At 54.1% G+C, this 21,581-nt stretch overlaps 1 protein-coding gene across 1 annotated transcript in view, besides 6 other annotated features; it reads right to left on the reverse strand.

Moving 5' to 3' along the window:
* QSOX2 (quiescin sulfhydryl oxidase 2) overlaps positions 1-21,581 on the reverse strand; it is a 39,480-nt gene that overhangs the window by 3,275 nt on the left and 14,624 nt on the right. The window contains exons 2-11 of the mRNA NM_181701.4: positions 17,167-17,267; positions 15,254-15,302; positions 14,400-14,505; positions 14,156-14,246; positions 12,189-12,334; positions 9,423-9,557; positions 9,072-9,201; positions 6,993-7,115; positions 5,547-5,697; positions 1,657-1,845 (exon numbers count right to left, since the gene is read on the reverse strand). Of these exons, the coding sequence (NP_859052.3) occupies positions 1,657-1,845; positions 5,547-5,697; positions 6,993-7,115; positions 9,072-9,201; positions 9,423-9,557; positions 12,189-12,334; positions 14,156-14,246; positions 14,400-14,505; positions 15,254-15,302; positions 17,167-17,267 (1,221 nt within the window). The remainder of the gene's footprint in view (positions 1-1,656; positions 1,846-5,546; positions 5,698-6,992; positions 7,116-9,071; positions 9,202-9,422; positions 9,558-12,188; positions 12,335-14,155; positions 14,247-14,399; positions 14,506-15,253; positions 15,303-17,166; positions 17,268-21,581) is intronic.
* Positions 1,827-2,603: an enhancer, noted in NCBI's record as "H3K4me1 hESC enhancer chr9:139103280-139104056 (GRCh37/hg19 assembly coordinates)". NCBI's record gives its function as "activates a minimal SCP1, AML or CMV promoter by ChIP-STARR-seq in primed H9 embryonic stem cells {active_cell/tissue: H9 hESC(primed)}" and the evidence as "EXISTENCE:reporter gene assay evidence [ECO:0000049][PMID:30033119]".
* Positions 6,400-6,903: an enhancer, noted in NCBI's record as "H3K4me1 hESC enhancer chr9:139107853-139108356 (GRCh37/hg19 assembly coordinates)". NCBI's record gives its function as "activates a minimal SCP1, AML or CMV promoter by ChIP-STARR-seq in naive H9 embryonic stem cells {active_cell/tissue: H9 hESC(naive)}" and the evidence as "EXISTENCE:reporter gene assay evidence [ECO:0000049][PMID:30033119]".
* Positions 15,778-15,827: an enhancer, noted in NCBI's record as "active region_29300". NCBI's record gives its function as "activates an Ori minimal core promoter by ATAC-STARR-seq in GM12878 lymphoblastoid cells {active_cell/tissue: GM12878}" and the evidence as "EXISTENCE:reporter gene assay evidence [ECO:0000049][PMID:35858748]".
* Positions 16,008-16,087: an enhancer, noted in NCBI's record as "active region_29301". NCBI's record gives its function as "activates an Ori minimal core promoter by ATAC-STARR-seq in GM12878 lymphoblastoid cells {active_cell/tissue: GM12878}" and the evidence as "EXISTENCE:reporter gene assay evidence [ECO:0000049][PMID:35858748]".
* Positions 16,218-16,437: an enhancer, noted in NCBI's record as "active region_29302". NCBI's record gives its function as "activates an Ori minimal core promoter by ATAC-STARR-seq in GM12878 lymphoblastoid cells {active_cell/tissue: GM12878}" and the evidence as "EXISTENCE:reporter gene assay evidence [ECO:0000049][PMID:35858748]".
* Positions 18,518-19,717: an enhancer, noted in NCBI's record as "MED14-independent group 3 enhancer chr9:139119971-139121170 (GRCh37/hg19 assembly coordinates)". NCBI's record gives its function as "activates an origin of replication core promoter dependent on BRD2, BRD4, P300/CBP and CDK7 cofactors, and independent of MED14, by STARR-seq in HCT116 cells {active_cell/tissue: HCT116}" and the evidence as "EXISTENCE:reporter gene assay evidence [ECO:0000049][PMID:35650434]".

Consider the following 21,581-nt stretch of genomic DNA (forward strand, 5'->3'; position numbering starts at 1 on the left):
GCAGCTCTCACCTGGAGGCCTTTCTCCGCACAGTGCTGCCTGTGTGCCCCTCCCCCCACTGCTGCCCCTCTGCCCTTTCCTGAGGGTGCACCTGAGGCCCACTACCTACAGAGCCCCGGCCACCTGGGTGCTATGGACAGTGGGCCTTAGGTGCACCTTCAGGAAAGGGCAGAGGGGCAGCAATGAATTTCCACTGCACTTCAGGTACACTGGCCCTTTCCGGACTACAAATCCCTTCAAGATCTCCAAAACTCGTTTCTGAAGTGACATGTGCTCACTTCCAGGCCCAACAGGCATCCGTCATGCAGAAGCTGCGGCGCACGGCGCCTCCTAGCTCTCGGAGCCCCTGCGACCCGACTTGCTGACACCTGGCCACCCTCACAGAGCTTCCAGAAGTGAATGTAAACACAACCACGTTTGTCTGGGGGACTTGAGACGTGCCTGAAATCAAGAGATGCCCTACTCGGGCCAGTCACTGACTGCGTGCTTATCCGGCCAACCGGCAGCAGGTGCTGCACACGAAGCCAGAGGGGACAAGCACAGACCAGTGGCACCTTGGTCAGAAGCTGCCAGAGCTTCATGTAGGACTGTCAAATAAGGCGCCAGCCCTGGGCAGAAGACCCCAGGCACATCTCCGAGGGGCCTCCCAGGAGCTTGGGTCTCAATGCACAGGCTGGAGGTGGGACTGGAGTGGGAATCTCAGGAGTGACAATCACACTGGGCTGTAAGGCCCCTTTCTGTTGCAGTCTCATGACTGGGGTAGTGGGGGCACATGCGGGCTGGGGCCACAGGTAGCAGCAGGGGCTCCAGGTCCAGGCAGGCCTGGCGAGGGTCCTGGTCCCACTGCCTCAGAGCCGAGGGCTCGGGGAAAGCACAGGGAGCTCTGTGGGCGGCGGCGATGCAGAGGCTGCCAGGGCGGAGAGACGGAGAAGCTGCGCTGACCGAGGGAACAAACCCCGCAGACACACAGCGCCTTCGTCACATGACCCCGGCCCCGGCAGTCAGGCTCAGGGCAAAGAAAAACCAATTTCTTTAGTGCTTCAGCTGTAATATGTTTTTCTAACACAGTGGATTAAATAAAAACCAATAGTTTAGTGGCATTTTCTATTCATCTCTATTAAGATTTCTCAGTGGAATTATTTTTAAGCCTAATTTTAATCTGCCACTGATTTAGGAACAGTTTGAAGTACTTAACTCTGAGAAAATACATGTGCCCTATTTAATTATTTTTTTTTAACAAAACAAAGCACTTTGAGAGGTTTGGTTTACGTTTGGACAACAGATTTCCATACTACTAAAATTCCTCATCAAAAATTAATTACGTTCCAAGCTTTCCAGAGTCAAAAACATCTTCAGAGTCTAACGGGCTACCAGTGGGTACCGATGGGGGAAGAAAGAGCCACACCCATTTCCACGGGGTCGAAGAGCCCCCGGAGTGAGAGAAGCATCTAGAAAGCCGGGGACAGAAGCAGCCTGGGAAAGGCTGCAGCTCTGGCAGCTCTCAGCCACCCAAGTCCTGATCCCGTCAGCACAGTGGGTGGCACGAGGCCGCAAAGCTCAGGGACAAGCCCCACGGCAGCCGTGCCGTCCTTGCTGTCCCAGGACCAGGGCCTCCCTCCGCCCGTGCTGAGCCCCCCATGCCCAGGGGCTTCTCACCTGCCAGGCGGCCGTTCACCATATTATGCTTCTTCCACAGCCAGAGGATGGCTTGGTCTGGGGTTTTCACCGAGTCCATGGATTCTTTAGCCATTTCCTCAAAGTGCTCACCACATTCCTTACACCCAAAGAAGGTGTGAACGTACCTCCTCATTGTCTGCAGCACAGCCTGGGGGTCGTCTTCAAAGCCTGCAGGGGAAGAAACACTGCTGACAACGGCAGGTGCGTGGGCATCACCTGACCCCACGCTTGTCCAGAGAGCCTGGGGGGAAACCGCTCCTGACATGTCGGGAAGCCACCTCATGTCTCCCCAGGGGCCTCAGGCTGTGGGCACAGACCAGAAGCCAGCACCTGCCAAGATGTCCAACACGCCCACGGGTGCTGCAGGCTCTGGAGACACAATGACTGTGGACAGCCCAGAGGGCGGACATGCTCCCCAGATGCCCTGGTGCCAGGAGGATGAGCCACGGACTCGGCCGCCAGGGCCCAAAGGAGCCCTTCCAGGGGCGCCTCCCACCTCCCACCAGTCTTCCAGCCGTCTGTGCCAGAACGCCCGGAGTGCCGCTCTTCCCCGGGATTTGCCAGCTGGGTGCAGTCTCTCTTGCCTTACAAGCAACTCTCAGGGGCTGGTACCAGGGCAATGACTCTGCTCATTCTAAACCTGCAGCTGTCGCGTTTGAAAGCCCTGCAGGACACCAGCCCAAGTGGGGACACGGCCTTAGGAAGTGACTCTTAAGCTGCCGCCAGCCACGGGCGTGAGGATGTGGAGCAGGTGGGCAGGCACAGGGACGGGTGCACCCACAGCCAGAGTTTGTGCCACCGAACGTATTAACAGACATGGACAGGCCGGGGCGCTTCCGCAGATACTGTGAATGAACAACACACATCTCAAGAAAGCAACACCTGCCCACAGGTGGCAGGAAGCAGCCAGCACCGCAACCAAGGGGAACCCCTGAGAAAACCAAGGGGGCAGCATGGGGCGGGGCTCGGCAGTCCCCACTCAGACGACTGACACAGGAGCTTGAACGCACAGATAGGAGACCCATGAGATTAAAACAGATTACATGTCAGCATTAAAAAAAGACATGCTTTCGCGAATGAATCCGTCTTCATCGACAGCAGGCCCTGGGGGAGCTTCCCGCGTGAGTGCAGGCCTGACGCTTGTCGTGGCTCCCTGCAAAACACAGCTGCGTGCAGGCCCTGACCTCAGCGTCCTGGTCGGTCCCAAATCCCGACACTTCTTGTTTATTTCACCCAGAAAGGTGAGAGCAGAGCAGAGCAGACCACCTCCTCCTCAGCCTTGAGCGTGTCCACGGGCAGCTGGGCGGTGTCTCAGATGGGACCGCAGGCGCTGGCCCTGTGACCCGGCCCGTCTGCCCTGCTCTCCTGCCGGGAGGGCTCCACAGACATCTGCCTTGCATCTCCACGTAATCCCCCTCCTCTTCCCCACATCACCGCAGGCGCGGGGCCACCCTAATCTTTAAAGTGGACAAGAACCATAAACCTCTACCTGTGGGAGGATTAGAGGCCTTCACAGGCATTTTACTAGATAGGGCTTAAACATACAGTAAAGAGAAGAAAAACCTTCCAAGACTTAATCCCGTGGTCGCCTCTGACCCAATTCTCTTGGCAGGAGGCTACTCCTGGAGGCTGCTTCCAATATGCTGATGGGCGGAAGGAGCGCTGAGGGTCTTGCTAGCAGTGTGCTTTGCCATCACACTGCTCTTACAATTCCACTACACTAGGGCTGGTCCTAGAAGAGTTTAAAATCAAATACCCCGGTCACTCAACTTCTCCCCTTGGCCAACACTGTACCCACACTGCCTTCAAGGAGCCGTTCCTCATGCCTGCGTGTGCCCGTGTGATCAGAGCAGACGGAAAGGGGGATGGCATGTCAGCTCATCTCCTCACCAGAACTTTCCATGTGTAAACGTGAGGTTTCCTAACTCAGGCTCACGCTTCAGAAGCAGTTTTGTTGTGTTTTTTTTTTTTTTTTTTTTTTGAGACAGTCTTGCTGTTGCCCAGGCTGGAGTGCAGTGGCATGATCTTGGCTCACTGCAACCTCCAGTGCTGGGATTACAGGTGTGAGCCTTGTGCACAGCTCAGAATCAGATTTACATGGTCTGGCTGGGCATTCGGTCGGAATCAGGTTTGCATGGTCTAGCTGGGCATTAGATCAGGCAGTGTGGATGCTGTGATTTCAATTTCTGTTTGGACAGCTCCCAAGGTTTCTCCCCAAAAACATACTACTCTTTTTTTCTGTATGATTATGAAAAGGATTTGAGGTTAAAACCCACCCTCTCCCCCAACCAGACCCCCGAGAAGCAGTAATCCAATATCACCTTGAGGAGGGCCAAAACAGATTTTCAGAAGGCCACTATAGTGCCCCCATCCCGGGACACTCTCCCATTAACAGGTGGAATCTATTTCTCTCACCACGAATTTAGGCTGGGTCAACAGGATGCGGCAGAAGTAATAATATGTGACTCCACACTGAGGTGGACTCTCAGGGGGTCCTGCCTGAACCTGGTGCTACTTGGTGGGGAAGCCACGTTCAGGAGTACGAGGCATTCCAAGGTCCCCTGGACTGACCAGCTGCCACCAGACGAAGGCAGACACACACGAGTGAGCCCAAGCAGCAACTCACAGAAGAACCGCCCAGCCGAGCCCAGCCCAAACTGCTGATCCACAGCATGATAAGCAAACAGTGGTGGCTGCTTTAAGCCCCAGCATTTTAGGTTAGTTTGTTATGTGGCAAAAAATAACCGTAAAGGAATTTGAGAATCTTACTGGAAAGAGCGTTGAACTGTGTGAGTCAAGACTCCACTTCGGCTTTGAAGTAAACATTAATGAACCTGAATTACTGCTTCAACTGGGAAGCACACACACAACAAAATTCAGGGGGGATAAAAAATCCAATACATACTTTAGTGTTCTGTGAAGGACAGAAAATTTGTTTTTATCTATTTCCTAGTAATTGAAAATTATTAAATCCAACTTCGAAGTTTTATAGGTTTTAACCCCTTGTGGTGGGCAGCCTCTGCGACGGTCCCCACAGATCACACCACCTATACTCACGCCTCCTGTAATGTCCTCCCCTTGCGAGTGGCCTGGGCCTGGGGACTGACTAGTAAGCAGAATCTGACAGAGGTGATGGAATATCATCCTCGGATAGGCACCCTCTCACTGGCTTGCTGATGAGGCTTGCTGCCATGATGTGAGCCGCCCGATGGAGAGGCCCTGAGCGTGGCCTGCAGTCAACAGCCAGCATGGAGCTCAGGGCCTTAGGCAAGCCACGTGCAAGGAGGCAGGCCCTGCTCTCTGCCCCATGAGGGTGCTGGGAAGCCACTCTCCCCAGGTGGGCCTTGGGTGACCCCCCAGGCCCAGCTGACACTCCGACTGCAGCCTGACCAATCCTGAAGAAGAGGACCCAGATGAGGCCATGCCCGGCCCTCAGAAACCATGAGCTCATAACCGTGCGTGGTTCCCGTGGTTCTGGCTGCTAAATTTTGGGGTGATTTGTTATACAACAGCTGATAATGAGAACACCTCTCCAAACAGATTTCACTTATTCTGTCTTTTTAAAGCAAAAAACAGGGAGTTTACACTGCAGGGAAACTCCCAGCCAGCACTCTTTCTTCTTTATGGTTTATTTCCTGCACGTTAGCCATGCACATCCTTGCGAGTTCTGACAAGGGGAACTCGTGCCCCCGCAGCCACAGCCCTGGGTGAGCTGACCGTGTGAGAGGAGTCTGAAGTGCCATTCCCCTGCCTCAGTGGCCTGGCGACATGCTGCCTCCCATACAGCAGTACATGCCTTTGCACACACCGGCTGGGTTAACTTGTTAGGCAGACCATCGGCCCCTCTGGCCTGTATGGGCACAGCTTACCTGTGCCAACCAGTGCATCTGGGTGGGTCGAGGCTTCAACAGTCAAAGTGTGGAACAGTTTCCAGAGAGAACACGGGTAACCCCTCAACTCAGATCGGCTTCCTTGACATCCAACCCACTTTATGTGATTAGTAAGGAATATTCCAGAAATCTGAAAAACAAACAAACAAAAAAACCCCAAAGAATAAAAGATAATTGTTGAAATTAAAAACAGTCGACAGCTGCCTTCTTGACTGGGGGGGGTGGATAATGGGGGTGTGGTTTACTGAAGCTGTATCAACTGTACACATAAGATCTGTGCCTCCTACCATATGCAAATTTAAATTCAATAAAACAAAAGAGAGGAAATGGTCTCCTTTACTAAAGGAGCTCTCAAGCCAATCTCTGAAGAGACAGTTCTTCTGTATCTTGATAAACCAGTAATATTAAGCATAAAATGTATCCACCTTTTCTTTTAAATTAGAATTAGTTGTAAGGACAGTATTAAGAGAAAAGGCAACTAACAACAGAAAAAAGCTCAACTGTCAAATAATTCTTGGCCAGAACAAACAAGGTGTGTTCACTTTGAAAAAGCAATAGGGTGGCCATCAGAGTGGGTGACTGCTGGACTGGGAGGGCTGAGAGCCCCAGGCAGATTCCGCTGGGTTTGGTTTCGTGTCTCATCAACCTTTTCCTCCCTAAGGACTCCTGAGCCCAGGACGTGCTCTCGAGGGAGATGTCACACGTCGCAGTCACGTGAGAGTGCTCCCATGACCTCGAGCTCGGAGTAGAGTCAAGGTGGAAGACAGACTCAGGCAAGAAGCCCGGCACCGTCTGCTTCTCAGCTGCAGCCAGCAAATGACAAAGCTGGCAAAATCACGGCACGACAAGTGCACCTTACAGGATTCCCAGAAGATCTGCTGTGTGCACTGACCACGCGGGCGTCGGACAAGCAGCACGCTGGGTTTACTGCCCGCGAGTAAACACTCTGGGGGCCACAGAGAAGCTGCTGATCTGGACTAAGGAGGGAATGGCAGGACGGAGTGCCAGGACCTCTTGGGGTGCTGGTCCCCTGAGCAAAGACTGGCACCTGCTGGCACCTGGTCTTGGGGAAAGCTCTGGAAAGGCTGCCACACTTACTGAATACATCAGTTTTCGTCAGATTGGCTTACTAAAAATTTAAAAAGCCCAACTACTACGTTGCTTGAGAAAACCCCATTTTGTCCAAAGGACAGGTGGTCACAGTGCACTTTTGGTGAGCTGTCCTTAAACTGAAGTCCCAGCATGACGCTGCCAAGGCAGACAGGAGGCCATGGCCATGATGCTGTCGTGGAGACAGTAAGTCACTGCTCCCCTTCCTCACAGCGGAGCCCGGGCCCCGAGCAGGGAGATGCACCAGCTAAGGGCAAGGGAAGGAAGGCGAGGGAAGGAGGGTGCAGCGTGGCTGGCGAGGGTTCTGGGGCTCACCCGCATCTTGTTGTTGACCAGGTCAAGCACGGCGTTGTAGGGGATCCTGTCCAGGGGAAGGCTGGCCAGCCACTCCTGCAGCATCTCCAACAGCTTCTTGACTGGCGGCCGTCCAGGGAACAGCTGCATGAGGAAGGAGCCACCTGAGAGCTACAGACCCAAACCCGGGCCCGCCCCCACCGCGGGGGGCACCGCACCTCCAAAGAGAAGCACTCCATCCGCAGAGGGGCTGAACCTAGGATGGGGCCTCTCATAACTCGGGTTTCTCTGATGGGAGGCAGGAAACCCAAGGGGCCATGGGGTGGGCATCTAGCCTGCGCCTCTCCCCAGGACAGCCTGTGCCCACGGCCATGCCTTTCTCCAGCCCGTGCCTGCAGCTCACCCACCTGCGCCCACGGCCTCGCTCCGGCCAGGTGACAGGCAAGGTCACGGTGTGTGACTCATCATGGAGCTGGCGGGGGCTTGCTGATTTATTCTGCCTTCCTCACGAGGAGCTGTGCTGACCCCGCCTGCCCGCCCGCTGGGCTTCCCCTCTGCCGTCACTGACTGTATGAAGGGCGCGCGGCAGTGCACATGCGCCGGCAGCCGGGGCTAACTGCCTATGGGCTTGTGTGGGCCGTGAGGCTGGCCGACATCAACACAGCTTGGGGAGGCGTCTGGCTGAGAAGATCCCAGGGCTCTGTCTTTTTAGGAGAAACTCTGATCAGCTGCTGCACCACAAACTGTGCAAAACATAGGCTGCCGAAAGAGCTCCGAAAACCCGAGCTGAAATCTCACGGGTGGCAATGCCAGACCAGAAACACCAGCCACCAAAAGAGTTCCTCAAACCCGAGCTGAAGCTCACAGGTGGCGATGCCAGACCAGAAACGCCGGCATCTTCAGCTCAGTCCAATATATTTTCTCCCGTGCAGGTTAAAAAGTACCATGATTAATTTACCAGAATCAAATTTATTTTAGACATCCAAGTAAACTTCAGAAAAATATTAAGAATAACTTATTAATACCCTGGCCTCAGGAGTTGCCCAGAGCACAAGTGTAAAAGCTCCAAGCCTAACTAGACTAAGGGGAAGACGGAGAAGCCGGGAGAGGAGAGCAGGTCTGCCTAGCGACAGCTGTGCGACTCCAGCGAATTAGCTGGCCGGCGGCCACCACCACTAAGAGCCACACTGTCCTCCACTAATATGATGGACAGATTAGCAGGACACTTTCTTAAAGGAAATGAGGCCAGCTAGAGATTTCTGAACTCTGGATGGCACCGTGGGGGAAAAAGCTGCCTGGGCAATGTTCATGCATTCATCTGAGGCACCTCCAGTCCTTCAAGATTTCCTGTACTTTTCACAAATCACTTTGTAAGTAAACTCTATCCAAAGTGCTCACTATAAATTATTCTATCATGCATCTTATTTTTGGCAAGATAAATATTTTAAGCCTAAGCCTTCTTGTCATTTAGACAGTAACAAGCAACCGAGCTCATGGAGTTACACCTGGCCACCTCCCTGGCTGGTCCTCTTCAGCCTGACCCTGGGCACGGCCAGGCCTGAGCTCTGTTGGGTGGCATCTCTGCCCGCTCCTGGCGACCCCCTCAGTGGTCTCAGACACCACATCTGTGCTGGTGATGGTGCTGAGCGTGAAGCTCCCAGGACCCCTCCCTGAACCTGGCTGGTGGGGCAGATGCACACCCCACCTGGATCTGCACAGCCCTTGCCTCTCCCTCTCTCTCTCCCCCCAGCCCCCGTGCAGCGCTCCTCTGAGAGCCAGCTGAGGTGTGTGTGGGCCTCCGCTCCCTCCTCCATCTACTCTCCAGGCAGCCAGAGCTGGGCTTTTCCAGCAGGTGCTCGGCTCACACCCCCGCCCCTCTCTACACCCACCGCCCCAGCCCCAGTGCTGGGAACAGCAGTGGACGCAGGAGGCACTCGGGAAATGGGTGGAATGAGTTGGGGCGTGGGCCTGGGCGACAAAGCAAGGTGGAGAGCACCTCAGCGGAGCTGGCGGAGCCCCCGCAGTGTCCGACGCCCCCCAGGGCCCACTCTGTGCAGAGCCAAATTCCCACATGCAGCCCAGACCAGCACCGTCCCAAACCTTGGCCAAGACAGTCACAAAGTCCTTGAGCGTCTTCAGCTCTGCTCCGGCCAGGGACTTGTGGGCTGCCAGCTCCACCCGCAGGAGGTAGTGTAGCCCTGACTCCAGGTCCACCGTGTACAGCTTCGACCTAGGACGGGATATGGCAGCGTCAGGGAATGCCCAACCTTTCCCTCCACAGCAAGTCTCCCTGTCCTGGCTCCTCCCCACGGACTCCCAGGGCCCCTGGGAGGGCTCCTGAGCGGCCCTCACTGGCTGGGGTGGGTTTCTGAGTAAACCCGCCCTGCAAGCACGCAGCCTTCGGTCTACACGCACTGTCTCCGGGGGCTTCAGTTCAAGAGGAACACTTGCTTGTCAAATTCTCTCCAAACCACGATTTCTGAATTTTCTTCTTTGTGTGGCTTTTCAGGCAAGGGAAGCGATTTTTTCCTCACATCCGGCAATGACTTCAAATAAGACGAAAAGAAGGCCCGCAGAGGCTTCACGCTGTGAGAGAGGGGAGGGCAAAGGTGAGAAGAGCCTCCTTTATAAAATCCTAAAGTAGGAGCCGTGGCATTCAGGACAGCTCTGGGCCACCCCTTTCATCCTTTGGGCATTTATTGGGGCATGGGAGTCAGTGGGAACAGCTGACACCCCGCCTGGGCTCCGGCTGCGCTTCCACCTGGGGGATAAGAGGAGACACACCAAATCCACAGATTTACAACCAGTTCCAGTTGTAATAAGTACTATGACTCATTTATGTTTGTGGGGACCTTAAGGCGTTTTGTAAAGCTGGGTTGAGCATCTGCCAAGATGAGCTTTATTCTGACTGCGATTTCCAACACGCCTAAGAGCCTTCACCGACGCGCCCACAATCTGCCAGCCCTGAGTGAGGCATCTGGAAGTCGGGGCCTGGGGTGGACGTCAGCCCCTCCCTGATGTCAGGCCCCTGAGCTCCCTGCGTGCCCACCCTGTGTGGACAGGGTGGAGCTGAGCCCCCTGTGTGCCCACGCTGTGTGGACAGGGTGGAGCTGCCTTCTGAGGACACCCTCAATGCCATTATTGAGCACTTCAGTGTGACGTGGAGCTTGTTTCCAAAGACAGAATGTAGCAGTGCTATTTGCAAAAACATTAAAATATCTATAAAAATATTAACATTATTTGACACTAAGAAGTTGTCTAGATGATACTTTTAACACTAAACAAACATCTGGGAGTGGTTCAGGCCGCTCTGCCAAGTGCAGTGCTGTGCCCCAGGCCTGGAATGGGCCACCTCGTTGGCAGAGCCAGGCCCCCAAGCACTCAGAGCATCTCCCAACAAGCTCAATGGCCTCTGTGGTTACCCTGAATTCCAGCTTTATCTTTTGTATTTTCACTCATTTATCTATTTTTGAGACAGGATCTTTCTCTGTTGCCCAGGCTGGAGTGCAGTGGTGCAATTTCAGCTCACTGCAGCCTCAACCTCCTGGGCTCAAATGATCCTCCCACCTCAGCCCCTTGAGTAGATGTAGCCACAGACATACTCCACCACGCCCGGCTAATGTTTTATTTGTCATAGGCTGGAGTCTCACTATCAACCTGGGCTGGTCTCAGACTCCTGGGCTCAAGTAATCCTCTCATCTCAGCCTCTGAAAGTGCTGGGATTACAGGTGTGAGCCTGGCCTCTTTTTCAAAAGGAAAGAAAAATACTTAAGAAACTGCGGTGTTCTGGGCTTCTGTAAGGCGCCCTCTATGCCCCAGTCGATCTTTGAGGAGGCTGAACTGGAAGCCCCAAGAGACAGGAAACACGTCCTATCTTCTCACTGCTGTGTCCCTGCACCTCGGAGCCCGGCGTGGTGAGTCACCAAGAGCCGCAGAGTCAACCGTGGCTAAACCAGCACATGCTGGAAGCCTGCAGGTGCTGCAACTTCAGGCCAGGGGAAGGGGCCACCCAGTGTAGGGCAGGCTAGCCTCACGCTGTCCTTCTCCTCACGCTGTCCTTCTCCCCAAGGTGAGGAGGAGCGGGGCCCCTCCAGCCTCAGGACGTTACTTAACTTTCTCAACCATTTTTCATTTTCTTTCTTTTTTTTTTGAGATGGAGTCTGACTCTGTCGCCCAGGCTGGAGTGCGGTGACAGGATCTCAGCTCATTGCAGCCTTGACCTTTGAGGCTCAAGTGATCCTCCCACCTCAGCCTCCTGAGTAGCTGGGACTACAGTGGCACACCACCAGACCTGGCTAGTCTTTTTTTTAGTATAGATGGGGTCTTACTATGTTGCCCAGGCTGGTCTGGAACTCCTAGACTCAAATGATTCACCTGTGCCCAGCCTCATTTTTCTCACTGTTCTTTTTCTAACCTGATTCAAGTTGTTTACTTTTTCATTGGGCTTATCCGAGGGGCACACAGGCACTCCACGCAGAGGCAAAGGGCTTATCCTCATGAGGGGCACACAGGCACTCCACACAGAGGCAAAGGGCTTATCCTCATGAGGGGCACACAGGCACTCCACGCAGGGGCGAAGGGCTTATCCTCATGAGGGGCACACGGGCACCCCACGCAGGGGCAAAGGGCTTATCCTCATGAGGGGCACACAGGCACCCCACGCAGGGGCGAAGGGCTTATCCTCATGAGGGGCACACGGGCACCCCACGCAGAGGCAAAGGGCTTGCCAAGGTTCTGCAGTTCTTAGAGAAAGAGCAGAACGTGAGGGGCAGGGCCTGGTGCCCACCCCTACTTCTCATTCTGCAGAGGTGGGCACGTGGGCTTGTCTGCCAGCCCCAGACACAGACCCAAACTGCATCCCAAGAGTCCACCCAGAGCAGGGTTTTAGGAGCATCGGCTGCTCCCAAAGCCCCGGCCCAGCAGCCCTCATGCATGTGCTGGTTTAGCCACGGTTTCCTCTGCGACTCTTGGTAAGTCACCACGCCAGGCTCCTCCTAGGTGCGGGGACACAGCAGTGAGAAAACAGAAATCCACGAAAACACAGCACAGATCAGCAATACCCACGGGCTGAGAGCCAGGGCCCAAATCTGCCCAGGGAAGCGAGGCGGAGGGGCCAGGGCTCCCCCGATCTCACACCAGACTTGCACTGTCTACTCGGAGCCTCTGTCCGGTAACTCCGAGCGGCACGGAGTTCCCAGACCCCACCCGGGCACTCACACGTTAATCAATCCATGCGACCCATTTGGGTAGATCAGGTAACACGAAGGGACTGAAGAAACACCAAGTTTCTCCAGAAATGCTTTGTCCCCGTCCAGTGCTCGGGTCACCACGATGCTTTCATACGGGATCAGGTCTAAGATCACCTGGGGGATGAGAACACAATGACACTTCCACAGGGGCTGGCAGTTTCTCAGAAAACACGACGTGCAGACACATGGCCTTGCAGGGAACCTTTCACAAAAGGGCATGAAGTCTGTCCCCCTGCAGGCAAGACCCTCACTCAAATCTTCACTCTCATTGCACTTTAAGGCAACTGACGGCACACACGCCATGAGCAGAAACCACGGTCTTATTCGGCAATTTTACAAACTCATCAAAGAAAACACTTATCCGCGAATTTGCACTTGACTTTCTAAAACCAGCGCGCCCCCCACAACACTGATACTGGTCAAGTGAGTCCCTGCACACAGCAGCCACACCCCACGGCCTCGCACTCCCGTCCCGCGTGTGGAAGCTTCGTGGCCGGGGCAGCAGGCCTCGTGCTGCCGCTCCTCCCCAGCCACCCTGCTCCTGTCTGGTTCTGCTCAGGCTGAAGGGGCAGCAACAGGGTCTCCGTGGCAGAGAGACCACAGGAGTGGCATCTCAGGATTTTGGAAGAAACCCTGCGTGCGCCACCACCACATCGGGCGTACGTCTTTCCTTCTCTTAACAGAGGAACAAAACCAGCTGCTCCTCAAACCAAGGGCCCTGGCTAAAGGTGTGAACTGGGCGCCCCGCGTGGCCGTGCCTCTCCTGAGCTGGGTGTGTCTGCGAAGAGCTGATCGCTACTCTGGGGCCACACTGGTCTCTGCTCTGGGCCATGCCGTGACTCTGTGCTGAAGAGCACTCCTCCTGCACGAGTGGAGCCTGGCTGCCCCGAACGCACCAGCATGCCAGGCAGGTAGGGGAGCGTGCCCGGCACCAAGACGGTCCCACACCCGCCTCTTCTCAGGGGAACACCTGCCTCTGGTCTGCGTGTGTGGAGGCCCCGCCCGAGACAGCAAGGGCACGAGGGGCCTTGGGACAGGGGTGAGGGGTCTGGGAGAGCCACACACTGCTAGCGGTTCCTCAGCCCTCCACAGAGAATCCTGGCCAACCATCTGGAGGCAGCCTGGCGTCACCATCAAACCTGGAGGGGGCGGTGCTGGGGTGCCAGGAGGGCAGCCAGGGCACAAAGCGAGACGGTCACAGTGCAGGTGTCTGCAGCTGCCTTCCCAAGTGCGTCTCCAAAAGCCCTCGCAGGGGCAAAGCTGTTTCCTACATTCACCGCAAGGCCCCTCACAGTGGACAGAAAAACAGTCGCCTATCAAGTTGCAAGGAGGAGGAGGAGAAGCTCAGGGTGAGTGCTGGGCGAACGCATGTGCAGTGAGGCCTTTCTCTCGTCTCCGGGAAGACTGTCAGCAATAATGACTCTCCGTGAGCTGCCCCTGCACCTGGTCCCTGGACCTTATTTAGACTTGGCCAGAAGCAAGGCTTCAGAACTGTACGTGTGAAATCAAAGTATGACGATAGAAACGACGTTTTACAGAATCTTGGATTTGGCAAAAATGTTGAGAGTTCAGAATACGGCAACGAAAAAAATCTTAGTAATAATGCATACAAAATACAGAATGACCTCAAGGTGAGCTGGGCGTGTCATAAAAATGAGATCTTCTGCAAAGCCCCCTCTTAGTTTCAAACCTAGGGTTAGGCCACCTTCTGAACCCCTCCCACCGCCAAGCTCATTCATCCTAACAGTCTTCTCCAGACACCAGTGACTTTGCTGAGTAACATTAACTAAGCTTCTGATAATGAACAAGACCTAAAGCCACAGACAGGACACGAGATGCCGACACAGTGACCGGCACCTGCAAATCTCATCACAGATCCACCGCCAACCCCAATCACACCACGTGTGACACCTGGAGCCCACGCAGAGGCCGTACCTCCCGTCCAAGGTAGGAGCTGTTGCTTTCAAAGACAATAGCCACGTAATGGCTGCCACGGTTGTCAAGAAGGGAAAGAACATCACTGGGCCTTTCAAGAGGAAAAAAAGAGGCTTTTAGTGCCGTCAACAGCAGCGAGTTGGCCACCACATCCCAGTGGCCACATCACTTAATAGAAACCTATTACGTTTCTTGCACAGTTCAACACGAGTCTAACGGCCGCCTTCTTCATGGAGCTACTCACTGAATGGGGTCTAGGCGCGGGCAGGCAGGGGGCCGGCTTCCTTCCGTGTGGTTCTGCAGGAAGTCAATCATCGTCTGTCTGACTGTTCGCAGCTCTCGGTCAGGTCCTGCCGGAAGCACACCAGGGTCAGAGCTGTGTGTGCGGCTGTCCTCGTGGGGCAGGCATACACCCAGGGACAGCAGCCCCGTCCCAGCCTGGGGCCCAAAGACAGCAGGGTGCAGGTGGCAGCAACATGTGCAATCCCAATGGGTGTGCCCAATGCCACCCACAGGCGTGGTACAGACAGCGCTGGATTCACACAACTGGAGACCACACAGCAATGACACAAGCATGGGTGGGCCACAGGGACAGGCAACAGAGGCAGATGGCAAGACACGGCACTGCGAGGAGCAGGCCAGGCGGCTCCACTGGGTCACTCACAGGCAGAGCCCCCCCAGGGCGCGGCGAGGAGCAGGCCAGGCAGCTCCACCGGGTCCCTCACAGGCAGAGCCCCCCAGGGTGTGGCCTGCGGGGTCTGATCACACTCTGGGCGATGCTCGGCTGGGTGGGATCATTTGTAAAAATTCATCGGGTGGGTACATGTGATCTGTGCACATCTCCAAATATTTTTACAATAAAAAATTTACTCTGAAAAAGTTTTTACTACAATATTTGCCAAGCAAGGCAAAGCACAAAATTAAAATTTCTCTTTGAAACTATTAATATCTGAACTCTTAAGGGAAAGCAGGCAGGAAGGTCAGCAGAGGGAAAGGTGCTGACCCAGGCTGGGAGCTCCCCAGGCTCTGGGACCGTGTGTCTTTAGCAGGTTTATGAGGGGAATCTCAGGGACTAAAATACAATGCTTATGTCCTTACCTTTAAAATTTTCTCCAGTTGTAAACTCCTTTGTAAATGCTTTAAAATACTAAGAGGAAAAACACAGAACAAGTAAGAGGCAGCCTTCCATGGGCATCTGCATGTGTTTAAGCAACAAAACGCCCGTCACCTTAGAGGGAGCTTTACTCAATTTCCTTCGGAAAGTTTTCATAAATTAATGACAAACCACACGCTTCTCCTTGTCTTTGTGCATATTAATGTTTCCTGTCAGATTTACGAGGGGGCTAAGGTTAGCTCCAATCAGCATTCCCATCATTTACATTTTCTGACCCAACAGGGCTAGAAGCAAGACAGTTCAACTGGGCTGGAATCATAAAAGACACCGCTCTCTGGGACTTGGTAGTGAGCCTATGTCTTAATGGTTAGCTGTAGCGTTAGCTGTGACAACACGGAGGATGTGCAGGAGGAGGAGACACCACGCAGTATCTCTGAGTGGATGATTAGGTTCTTATGTTAACATTAAAAACTTTCTTCATCAAAGGGTACGTTAGAGACAGCGACGAGACAAGGTTACATGATGGCGGAGATGAGGTCGGTAAGAAAAGCACTGGCCAGCTAAGAGGGAAACGTGCAGATGACAGGAAGACACTTCACCCATGACACCCACGGCCCACAAAGCCAGATGTGCTGGCACTGCAGCCGCCAGGGAAATGCAAACGAAGCCGCCAGTGCTTCCTGCTGCACTGGTCCCTGGGCGAGCACAAAACTGCCTGACACTGCTGGCCCTGCAGGTCTGTTGTGCACAGACCCGGTTCGCGGCCCAGTGGCTTCTCTCCCAGCCTCAGCTCTCCCCTTGCCCGGGAAGGCGCACAGCAGCGCCGTTCAAAGCCACCAAAGCCTGGAAGAGCCCACACACCTGGCAACGGGGGGCTCTGGTTCTCAGAGTGACGTCACTGGACAATCCCATCCAATGAGCATCGTAGTGGATCTGGGCAATGTCCCATTAAGTAACAGAAAGAGGGCCCGAAAGTTTACATACAGCACAGTGTGAACTGTGTCTGAAGCAAAATCAAAATACAACAGGAAGCCATGCTGACGTAATCACACGCAGAGGCAGGCAAGCAAGTGTGCGACACAGGCCCCGAGAGGCCCTGGGGCAGGGCTGACACCGGTGCCGCCCAGCGTGGCACCTGTTAGGGCAGGACCACAGGTGCTGCCAGCACAGTGAAAACAACAGCCCCCAAAATACAAGCGAAGCCACCATGACATGACACCACACCACACAGCAAGGCACCAGGGCTGACAAGGACGGAGTTTTACTCAAATTGACAAAGCTTCCCAGGAAGTGGGCCCAAGGCGCCCACGTTTCTGGAGATGTCCATGTCAAGGCACGCAGGAGGCAGTGGCACCCGCAGGTACACACATGCTATGCACGGGCCTGCAACAGGGTCACAGGTACCTCCGCCCCCTAGTGGGAGCAATGGGCACAGCCTTGTCTGCAGGGCTGACTTTGGCTGGGGAAGGCAGAGGCCCTGTGCCTGTGTGTGCGTGTGTGTGTGCATGAGTGTGCATGTGTGAGAGCCCCATGGTACACGGACCACACGCGTGGCTTCAGGCTGGGGTGCCAGCCCTCGCAGTCCTGGTCTCCTTGCGCCCCCTGGCCGTGCAGGCTGCAGGGGGTCTTTTCACGCATCCCCTCCATGTGACCGGGTCTGTGTGAGCGTGGACAGTCCCACAGACACTTCCACAGCACAACAGGGTGGAACAAGAGCTGCCCCCACCAAACATCAGCTCCTACAATTCCTACGAAGTTCCAAGGAGAGAGCCAGAGAAGCCGAAAACACAGGCACTATGATGTGGCGAATTTCAACAGACAAGCAGCCGCGTGATGCTCACCTGGAAGGTGGGGTAGAAGGTGAATTTCAACGGACAAGCAGCCGCGTGATACTCACCCGGAAGGTGGGGTAGAAGTGGATGTCGTAGTCATGGCACACGGCCTGGTTCTTCTCTTCCATGCAGTCCAGAGCTGCGACGCGAATGGCACTGGCCCAGTCTGAAAAGCAGGAGCATGACCTTCAGTGTGGTGAGCACTGGACTCCCGGGAAGCCCAGGACCCAGCAGTCCCCACTCCAGGCTGCGGCCACCTGCGAGACCAGCCCACCTGCCCCCTCTAGGTCATCAGTTAGGCCCTCATCACACAGAGCGTCTATGTGGAGCTAGGAGAGAGAACTCCACCAACAGCACGATGCCTCTCCTACCACAGATAGTCACAGAACAAGCGGATTTGTGCTGAACCTGCACATCACGGAGCAGGGACAAGGCTGTGGGCCCCTAATTAAATGACACCCTGATGGATGAAAGCGCTGGTAACAGACGCGGCTGTCAGCGGCCGGCACTTAAGTCAGGACAGCAAGCAAGTACGTGCAGATTAATCAGATACGGTCCAGGCTGTTTGGCAAAAACATTCCCGTGTTCTCACTCCAGCGAGTACTGGCAGCATCTGAGCAGGGTCTTTCAAGGCAAGGATGCGTGCACAGACACATGTGAAGTGGTTTCCAACACCATCCCAGACACTGCCCGCAAACCCTGGAACACCTATGCCATTTTGGGGAGGCTAAAAGGAACCATAAATTTTTTTGTTCCTATCTCTAAAGTTTTTGCTATGGAAAATTTCTAACATGCAAATAAAATAGAGATAAAAATGTAACAAATCCCACACATTCTACCTCTTGGATCAATAATTATCAGCTCAAGGTGAATCCTGTTTTGCCAAAGTCTCCACCCACTTTCAGAACTGTCCCACAACAAATCTCAGCACGTCATTTCTACACAAAACCCACCAGGCTTTGCCTCTGAAAGATGAAGGCTCTCCACTGGGCATGGTGGCTCATGCCTGGAATCCCAGCACTTTGGGAGGCCGAGGTGGGCAGATCGTTTAAGCCCAGGAGTTTGAGACCAGCCTGGGCAACATGGTAAAACCCTGTCTCTAAAAAAAAAATACAAAAAATTAGCTGGGCGTTGGTGGCGCACACCTGCGGTCCCAGCTACTGGAGAGGCTGAGGTGGGAGGACCGCTTGAGCCCGGAAGGCACAGGCTGCAGTGAGCCGGCGACAGGGGGAGGCTCCACCTTAAGAAAAAAAAAAAGTCCCTATTTGTTCGTTTAAAGTTTGTTTGAATCAAGATCCCAGCGAGGCTTGTTGGTTACTGCTGGTGGGTCCTGGCACTTTCCTTCTCTGGGTTTGACTGACAACATCCCGGACTCCTGGCATTTCTGTAACAGGGCACTCAGATCTAGATTCTTGTCTGATTTGTTTGGTGACATTACTTTGTAGGTAGTGGAACATGCTTCCACCCAGAGGCAAGCGACGCCTCTCTCCTTAGTGATCACGACCTAAATGCATTAATGCACCAGGGCTGCAGTGAAATGGTGACGTGTCATCTCTCACCGTTTGCTCATGATGAGCTGGGACAATTCTGTAAAGAGAGACCTGCCCTCACTGCAACCCAGCGGAATGACTCACATGAGGAAGGGGAGTGCCTGGCTCGTGCTTCAGTCACCAGTATCAAAGTCATGGTTTCCGAAGCTGACCAGTGAGGTTTTCTTTTTAAAAGATTTGTGTTCTTCCTCTGGGATGTAAAAATTGCACTGCCAACAATTCACAAATATTTCCTGGCTCCTCACTCTGTAGGGGTCCTTCCAGGCCCTGAGACTTTGAGGGGACAGCCTAAAGGGGCACCACTGGGTCAAGGGATGGGTGCTGGCTATCCTGGAGCCTGGAGGCCTCAGCAGAGTCGGCAGTGTGGCAGGGCACGCCGCACCGTGGGAGAGGCAGGTGCAGAGGCGAGACCCAGGCACCCAGCAAATGGACCTGCCTGGAGGAATGGAGCCAGCCACGTGGGGTGCTGCCCTGGCACAGCCTTGTGACCGGAAGCCCAGTGATTTCTGAACGGGAGGGAACGTTATGTCTGCCTGTCACTGAGATACTGATGAGGCTCTTTTTTGCCTTGTATTCCGATTCTGCCCACTTGTCTAAATCAATGATTCCACTATAAATCATGTAAAAAGAGTAAGAGTCTTTTCTGAGAGCGAGCTATGATCTCAAACTCCAGAGGTTCTGTTAAAAGCATGCCTGGAAGAGACGGAACATATCACCAGACTCTGTACAAATATGAAGGCTTGTGTGTGTTAGCGGTTCAGATTGCTATTTTTCTACATAATATACCACAGCTCTGTTTCAGATACTGGCCTTTTCTCCCTGTAATTTAAAAATAAAAAAGAAAGAAACCTCTTTCAGAAACAATGACCAAATACCGTTCCCGCTTACGCTGGCTAAGTGAAACCAATTCAGGTTTTGAGGCCACTTTCAGTGGATGAGGGAGAAGCGACACGAGCTCTCTGCATCCCCGGCCACTCCTTGCCCAAGCCTCAGACCACATGGAACTGAGGAAGAAGGGTTCATGCTCTCACCCAGTCAGCGCAGCAGACGGCACGGGACGCGGAAACAGGAGGTGCTCCCAGCAGCCCCGCCGTGGGCAGCTCACGGGCGGACCCCTCCACAGCCCCGGCTCCTCAGCCCGTGCATCCTGGCGAAGTGTCTCATTTCTGTGGCCTTTTATCTGGCTCACAATTCCACATGGTTTCATTCTGTTTATTGGGAATTTCTATAACACATTTTTATTCCACACTTTTTTTAAAAAAAAGCACCTTTGTGCCCAGAAAGAACATGTAACAAAACAAAAAGTTGCTCTGAGAGCCCAGACTGCACACACAACAGAATCACGGCCGTGTGACATCATCAAGCCGGCCTAGAAACAGCAAAAACAAAAGACGGGAAGAAGAAAACGTTCCAAGATGTTTGCCAGGATTTGGTTTTCACGGTGGGATCTGGTCCCATCTGTGGTTTCTCAGATTTGTCTTAGGGCATGTTACCTACACAAACAAACACACAGCACATCCCTGCTGCCCCAGGCACTTGCTGGCCACATCACACCCTGCCCTCCTCTGGCCACCTCTCCTGCATGTTTCCTAGTTTCTATCTTCCCGTAGATCTTGGTACAAGGTGGCAACACAGAGCCCTGCACAGCGACCGTGGAACTCTCCCGGCACCTCAGGTGAAGGCCGCTTGGACAGTCTGGGCCCAGGCCAGGTGGTGCTGCTCTTTTTAAATAACCCTCCTGGCCGGGCGTGGTGGCTCACGCCTGTAATCCTAGCACTTTGGGAGGTCAAGGCAGGCAGATCACGAGGTCAAGAGATAGAGACCATCCTGGCCAACATGGTAAAACCCCGTCTCTACTAAAAATACAAAAATTAGCCGGGCGTGGTGGTGCGTGCCTGTAGTCCCAGCTACTTGGGAAGCTGAGGCAAGAGAATGGCATGAACCCGGGAGGAGGAGGCTGCAGTGAGCCAAGATAGCGCCACTGCACTCCAGCCTGGCGCCAGAGCGAGACTCTATCTCAAAAAACCCTAAAATTAAATAATTCTCCTGAATCTCAGGCAGCGCTAGAGAGAATGTGAAGAGTTCAAATGTGGCCGGTGGGAATGGCTGTCAGCCCTGCAGTAAACAACTCTGTAACACCTGGAATGCAGAATCCCAGGTGCCAAAGGGCTGAGCCCAGGAGGAACAGAGGCATGATCCGACCCAGGCCTCACAACTGCTCTGATTCCTGTGCCCCACTCCCAACAAGCTCATCCACCGCAGGGCGCTGCCCAAAAACACATGAGCCTCAGTACTCGGCCTCCGTGACGGCATCCTTATCACGTCGGGCCACAAATCCACCCTGTCACTGGCTCCTCACAGGCTGTCCCCAATGAGGCTTCAGATTCCCAAGACCAAATGTCTGCTGGTTGTTTCTACCTGTTACTCTTCCATGATAAGCCAGTAAACACTCAAATCAAGACTTAAGTACATAATTCTAACATTCTGAACCGAGCTGGAAGGCGCCTGGGAGAGTCCCGGCCTCCAGAGGATCCGCCAGACCCAGCACTGCTCCGCTCACTTGTCCCCTCCTCTCCCCTCCAGCCATGCACAGGCCTGACCTCCGTCCCACCACCCCTGGGCCTCTGCCCTGTCTCCTCCCTGGTGGAACTCTTTCCACTGATCTGTTCCTGGTTGCTTTCCCATCTATTTCACAATTTGAACACAGGTAACACCTCAGCAAGGACTTCCCTGACCCCCTGCCCAGGCCTAGTTTCATTGGCAGGAAAAGCCTCCGACCGGCCTTGTTTCCATGGGAAGTAAATTTACACAGCCCTTTACAGTTGACAAAGCTTTCTGACCAAATTATCTACCACGGGAGTGGCCTGGTGACAAACGCAGGATCCTACAGACGGGGAAACTGATGCTCACAGAGGCCGAGGAAGGCTCCA

This window comes from Homo sapiens, chromosome 9, assembly GCF_000001405.40.
Source record: "Homo sapiens chromosome 9, GRCh38.p14 Primary Assembly".
Lineage (NCBI taxonomy): Eukaryota > Metazoa > Chordata > Mammalia > Primates > Hominidae > Homo > Homo sapiens.